Source organism: Homo sapiens, chromosome 1 (assembly GCF_000001405.40).
Source record: "Homo sapiens chromosome 1, GRCh38.p14 Primary Assembly".
Classification (NCBI taxonomy): Eukaryota; Metazoa; Chordata; class Mammalia; order Primates; family Hominidae; genus Homo; species Homo sapiens.
The window spans coordinates 41,301,777-41,309,121 of NC_000001.11; the positions used below are offsets into that span (position 1 = coordinate 41,301,777).

The 7,345-nt window shown below is 42.6% G+C and overlaps 1 long non-coding RNA gene across 1 annotated transcript; it reads right to left on the reverse strand.

The window, feature by feature from the left end:
- Positions 1–1,141: 1,141 nt before the first annotated feature.
- Positions 1,142–4,167, reverse strand: LOC124904158 (uncharacterized). Its single transcript, XR_007066026.1, has 2 exons — positions 4,066–4,167; positions 1,142–2,196 (listed from the first exon to the last, which is right to left on the reverse strand). It is a non-coding gene; the product is annotated as an uncharacterized LOC124904158 (long non-coding RNA).
- Between the last annotated feature and the right edge of the window lie 3,178 nt (positions 4,168–7,345).

Below are 7,345 nucleotides of genomic sequence, written 5' to 3' on the forward strand. Positions count from 1 at the left end.
CAACCTCCGCCTCCCAGGTTCAAGCGATTCTCATGCCTCCCTCCTGGGTAGTTGGGATTACAGGCATGTGCCACCATGCCTGGCTATTTTTTGTATTTTTAGTAGAGACGGGGTTTCACCATGTTAGCCAGGCTGGTCTTGAACTCCCTGGTCTCAAGTGATCTGCCCGCCTTGGCCTCCCAAAGTGTTGGGATTACAGGTATGAGCCACTGCATGCAGCTAAATTTCTGTTCATTATAAATTACTCAGTCCCAGGTATTCTGTTATAGCAGCACAAAACAGACTGAGACACTTGATCTCTTGGTTCCTTGACTTCCTCTTTCACTACTGGTCCTCCACCCTGCTTCATCCACTCAAGGCCATCATTTTGCTATAGACCTGATCATGACCAATAGCTCTGACATCGCTATAACCTCAATGTAAGCAATTTACCTCTTAGATTGCCACCTCTAATTTTTCCAGCTCATTCCTCTTTTTCTACTCTGACAATTATTCAACCCACCAGGACCTATAATCTAATGACCTTTCTATATTTTCATTGCCCTTATATTCCACTCTAACCAGCTTATGTTCTATGGTTCATCATTGTCATTCCCTTGCACACTTCCTCAACTCTTGTGCCCTTGACCTACTTCTTCATATCACTTGGGCAACTCTCGACCATAGTTAACTCCAATTGTCCATATGCTCCCTGCTTTTCCTGTGCAACTGAATGAGTTTGGAGAAAAGCACAAGACAGGCTGACTAGTCTCATCTTATATTCATGGGCACTAAGCTCAAGTGGACCCTTGTGGTTGCAGGTAAAGCCCGTAATCCATTGACCCTCCTGTCCCATTTAACACTTTCTTATCTCTCCTCAAAAGACTTGAACAACCACTTCATAAAATAAAATATCCAAACAGCCATGAACTGTAGGAAAATATGCTCAACCTTATTGGTCATCAAGGGAATGAAAATCAAAACCGTGGTGTGGCACCATGACACAATCATCAGAATGGCCAAAATTTAAAAGGCTTATGACAGTACCAGGTGGGTAGGGAACAACTGGATTGCCCTTCTGTAGGAGTGGAAATTGGTACAAAACTTTTTTGGTGCAACAAGTAATTGTGGTTTCGAACCGTGAATTTTAAATCATTGTAACTAGACTCAAACACATTTTTATTAATCAAAATAGGAACCATTGCAATCAACACATTTTTGCCAAAGAGAAATAAATTTAATCCTGTAGCATAAAAATCTGTCCTTTGGAATTTGACAAACTCTTGGAAAGCATTTTCTGCATCCTGCTCATTGTGGATTGTCTTCCCTGCAAAACGTTGTTGAGATGTTTGAAGAAGTGGTAGTTGGTTGGTGAGAGGTCAGGTGAATGTGGCAGATGAGGCAAAATTTTGTAGTACAATTCGTTCAACTTTTGAAGCGTTGGTTGTGCAATGTGTGGTCGGGCATTGTTGTGGAGAAGAATTGGGCCCTCTCTGTTGACTAATGCCGGCTGTAGGCATTGCAGTTTTCAGTGTATATCATCACTTTGCTGAGCATACTTCACACATGTAATGGTTTCGCTGGGATTCAGAACTCTAAAGTGGATTAGACCAGACCAGCAGTAGACCACCAAACAGTGACCATAACCTTTTTTTGGTGCGAGTTTGGCTTTGGGAACTGTTTTGGAGTTTCTTCTTGGTCCAACCATTGAGCTGGTCGTCGCCGGCTGTTGTATAAAATCCACTTTTAGTGGCATGTCACAATCTGATCGAGAAATGGTTCATTGTTGCATAGAATAAGAGAAGACAACACTTCAAAATGACAATTTTTTTGATTTTCGCTTAGCTCATGAGGCACCCACTTATTGAGCTTTTTCACCTTTCCAACTTACTTCAAATGCTGAACGACCGTAGAATGGTTGACACTGAGTTCTTCAGCAACTTCTCTTGTAGTTGTAAGGGGATCAGCTTCAATGATTGCTCTCCATTGGTCGTTGTCATCTTCCAACGGCCTGCCACTACACTCCTCATCTTCAAGGCTCTTGTTTCCTTTGCAAAACTTCTTGAACCACCACTGCACTGTACATTCGTTAGCAGTGCCTGGGCCAAATGCGTTGTTGATGTTGCGAGTCATCTTCTCTGCTGCTTTACGACCTATTTTGAACTTGAATAAGAAAATCACTTGAATCTGCTTTTTGTCTAACATCATTTCCATAGTCTAAAATAAACATAAAATAAACAGCAAGTAATAAGTCATTAGCAAAATAAAAGCGAGAAATGCCCATTAAAATGATGTATAACATAACTACATTTATTTGAGAATGTATTCCAATATCAAATGGCAAATTCCGACAATGCAAAAATCTACTAAAGCCAAAACTAAACTTTCCTTATGATCCAGCAGTTTCATACATAGTTATATACCAAACAGAAATGCATACATTTGTGTACCAAAAGACATGTAGAAGCATATCCATAGTAACATTAAATACTGTAGCACAATCATTAAACAGGCCAAATGCTTATCTATCAAGAATAGAATTGGGAGGCTGAGGCGGGCAGATTACCTGAAGTCAGAAGTGTGAGAACAGCGTGGGCAACATGGCAAAACCCCATCCCTACTAAAAAATACAAAAATTAGCTGGGTGTGGTGGTGCGTGCCTGTAGTCCCAGCTACTCGGGAGGCTGAGGCAGGAGAATCACTTGAAACCAGGAGGCAGAGGTTGCAGTGAGTCGAGATCACACCACTGCACTCCAGCCTGGGTGACAGAGTGAGACTTCGTCTCAAAAACAAAAAACAAACAGAAGAATAGAATGGATATGTAAATTGTGGAATAATCATACAAGGATATGCTATATGTCAATGAAAATGAATGCACTGTCGCTACATTTATCCCACAAACAACGTTGAGTAAAAGAAGTTATACTATATTATTCTACTATATAAGTTTCAAAGCAGACAACAATTAACTTATGGTTAGAAGAGTGGTTACCTTTGAGAAGGAATGAGTGGGTAACACCTGAGAGGGAGCATGTGGAGTCTCTGGGATGCTGGCAATGTCTTTTTTCCTGATTTAGGTAGTGGTTACATTAATATGTGAACTTGTGAAGACTTCCTGTGTTGTACATTCATGATCTGTGCACTCCTTTCTATGTATGTTACACTTTAACAAAAAGTTATTATATATGTGTGCATGCATATATGTGTAGTATGTACGTATGTATATATATAATGTTTTTATATTCCTCTCCCCACTTGGAAATGACCCACTTTAATTTCCAGCTATTATGTCATTTATCTCCTTCACTTTACAGCCAAACTTTACAAATTTGCTAATGTTTGCAGTCTCCAAGTTCTTAACCCCAACATTCTCCTGAAATTGCTCTTGTCAGGGTCACTTACCAATGACCTCCATATTGCAAAACTCGCTGGTCAATCTCAGACCTTACTGTACTTGACCCGTCAGCAGAATTGGACACATCCAACCCCTCTCTTAGGCACATCTTCCTCATTTGACTTTCAGGATGCCACTCTTCTGGTTCTCCTCTTACCTCTCTGGACTCTCTTCTCAGACCCCTGTGCTAGTCTCTCTTCATTTCCCAGGCCTCTAAATATTGGTTTACTCCAGGGTTCAGTTCAGTTCAGGACCTCTTCTCTATCTTGCTCCATTAATGTCATCGATGGTCATACAGCTTCTACCTCTACACTGATAACTCCCAAATGTATACCTGCCTCTCAAATAAATCTCTTTCCTGAGAGGCCTCATATATATAATTTCAACTTGATGTTTAATAGGCATCTCAAACCCAGCATCCTGAAGAAAACTCCTCATATCCTCCTATCCCCTCAAATCTGCACCTCCTCACTAAGGGCTGACTCTGTTCTTCTAGGTGCTCAGGTCAAATACCTTGCAGTCATCTCTGACTCTTCTCTTTCTCTTACTTCCGAAATCCAGTCTATAAGCAAATCATTAGTCTCTACCACTTCTTATCACATCCACAGCTGTTACTCTGGGGCAAGCCGCCTTCATTGCTCTCCTGGACTGTTACATTCACCCCCTAACAGGTCTCCCCCTTTCTATCTTACCTCCTTCTTTCAGTCAGGATCCACCCAGGAAAACAGAAGCCATTCCATGAAGGGATGCAGTACTGGAAACTGGTTACAAGGTGACAGAATTGCTGAGATGCCAAACAGGGGAGGGGAGGCCACCCAGCGATCACCAACAGCAGGAAGTGGTGACCACCCCTAGGCTGTAGAGATAACAGGAAAAGGTGGCGTTACCCACACCCAGGGGCCAGAGGGACTCTGAAAGAAGCAGAAACCCAGGCAGGCCTCTTTAACAGGAGCTGGAGGCAGCAAGCAGAGACCAGGAATGCCTGGCTGCAGAAAGGAGGGAGGAAGAGCCAAGACTCCCTTCTCCCAGCCCTCTCATCTACTTTGGCCTCTCATTGGCCAGATGCTGTCAAACGGCAGTGGACACAGGATCCCTGGAAACAGGCCACAGGGTCAGTTCCCTGCCATAGAGCAAGAGAAGGGTAAGAAATGGATCCAAACAAAGACGCCAAGGGCTAGCACCCAACCCCAGCCATAGAATGCTCTTCCCCAGGGGATTCAGGTCTTGTGAGGGCTTAAGCACATGACATTTTTTATGGCCCTCACTAATAGTTAAAAAATGAAAAACAGTAAATTAGGCATGAAGGTAAATATCTATTTAAGATGAAAAAGAAATCACAGAAAATTACAAAATTTTTAAAAGCAGGCAATACCACAAATATCTTACCTAATCCGGAAAAAAGAACATAGTCTTTTTAATTTATTAATTTATTAATTGCTTGATGTATTGCTATATTACTTCTTCCCTTATATTTTTTGCCTTCATATTCTTTCATCACTTGTTTGTATGACATGATTTGTAATCCTTTTTTTTTTTCTTTTTTTGAGACAGAGTCTTAGTCTGTTGCCCACGCTGGAGTGCAGTGACGCGATCTCAGCTCACTGCAACCCCTGTCTCCCGGGTTCAAGTGATTCTCCTGCCTCAGCCTCCAGAGTAGATGGGATTACAGGCATGTGCCACCACACCCAGCTAATTTTTGTATTTTTAATAGAGACTGGGTTTTGCCATATTGTATTGGCCAGGCTGGTCTCTAATTCCTGATCTCAGGTGATACACCCACCTCGGCCTCCCAAAGTGCTGGGATTATAGGTGTGAGCCACCATGCCTGGCCTGTAATACATTTTTTAATAGAAAGAATACAAAAGTTTCCTCTACTGTAGTTGATTAAAGTTCATTTTTAAAATTATTATTATTAATAGCTTAGAAAAGTTTCCTCTACTTTCACAATTTGTTAATGGCAAAGTTGGATAAATTTTTAGAATTGTCAAACCTGAGAGAGCTCTATCAAGATTCTTTTATATATGAGCGGTAAGATTTCTGGGCTTTTCAAGTTTTCTTGTGCAGTGACTACTAATTTAAAAACTTCTGTGAGCTGACAACACTCTATTAAAGCTCTCACATCAATATCCTGTCGACAGAGTGGGCGGTGGGAGGGTTCCTGGAAGCCAATCTTGCTCCAGGATAGCTGGTAATAACTTCCAATAACATGGAAAGAGCTGTGAAACACACAAATATATCTCAGTAAACTCCAACTAAAGGTATCCCCAGCTCAATTTTTTCTAACTGGATCCCAAAAATATCTGTACCCACTCCAGCACCAAGAGAAGATATGGTAGAAAAGTCAAGAAAGAGATCAAGTGGTCTTAACTAATTGTGGCTAAGATATCTTACTTTCGTAAATTTTACAAAACATATGACCACCTGATTGCATGACTGGGGTCTTGGAAGGGATCCGTGCAAGCATAGAGTTCTGGGATTTGGGCTTCATTAGCTTTATGGTGAATTCACCCCGGTCACCCACAGCAGACAGTGGTGCTTTTAAAATGTAAGTCAAATTGTGCACCACTCTGCTCTAGGCTCTCAAAAGGCTTGGTGTCTTGTCCAGTGTAAAAGCCAAAGCCCTCACAATCACTTCTCAGGCTCACCGTGGGCTGGCCTCATCCCCATCACTCCTTGCTGACCCATCTCCTGGTCCCTCCTCCTGACTCTGCTACTCAGAGCACCTTGCCCTTTTGCTGTTCCTCTAGCATTCTTACCACGGGGCCTTTGCTCTTGCTTTTCTCTCCATCTGAAACCCGATTCTCCCAGATACTTGCTTATATTGCGCCTGCTCTTCCCTCAGGTCTTCATTCAAATATTACCTTCTGTATTCATCTCCAACTGCGGCTATAGCAAATTACCACAAATTTAGTGGCTTAAAACAACACAGATTTATGATCTTATCATTTCAGAGATCCGAAGTCCAAATTGGGTTGACAAGGCTGCATTCCTTCTGGGGGCTCTAGGGTAGAATCCATTTTTGTGCCTTTTCCAGTTTCCAGAGGTCACCCACATTCCTTGGCTCATGGCCACATCGCTCTGATCCTGACTCTCCTGCCTCCTTCCTTTCCCTTGTAAGGATGCTTGTGATTGCATGGAGTCTAGTTGGATAATCCAGGGTCATCTTTCCCCTTGAGATCCTTAACTTCCTTATACCAGCAGAGTTTCTTTTGCCATGTTGGGCAACATGTTCATAAGCTCTGGGGATTAGGATATGGACATCTTGGGGTTTGGAGGCACATTATTCAGGGTACTGTATCTTCCAAGTAGAACACTCCCTGACCATCTGATATGGTTTGGCTCTGTATCCCCACCTGTATTAGCCAGGCATTAGTCCATTCTCATGCTACTAATAAAGACATACCCAAGACTGGGTAATTTATAAAGAAAAGAGGTTTAATTGACTCACAGTTCCACATGGCTGGGGAGGCCTCAGGAAACTTACAATCACAGCAGAAGGGGAAGAAAACACATCCTTCTTCACATGGCGGCAAGAGGAAGTGCTAAGCAAGGGGAAAGCCCCTTATAAAACCATCAAATTTTGTGAGAACTCACTCACTATCATGAGAACAGTATAGGTGTAACCATCCCCATGATTCAATTACCTCTTACGAGGTCCCTCCCACGACATGTGGGGATTATGGGAACTGCAGTTCAAGATGAGATTTGAGTGGGGACACAGCCAAACGATATCACCACCCAAGTATCATGTTGAATTGTAATCCTCAGTGTTGGGGGAGGGACCTGGTAGGAGGTGACTGGATCATGGAGGCAGATCTCCCCCTGGCTCTTCTCATAATTGTAAGTTCTCACGAGATCTGGTTGTTTGAAAGTGTGTAGTACTTCCCTCCTTGCTCGCTGTCTCTCCTGACAGCCATGTGAAGAGCATGCCTCCTTCCCCTTCCCCTTCCGCCATGATTGGAAGTTTCCTGA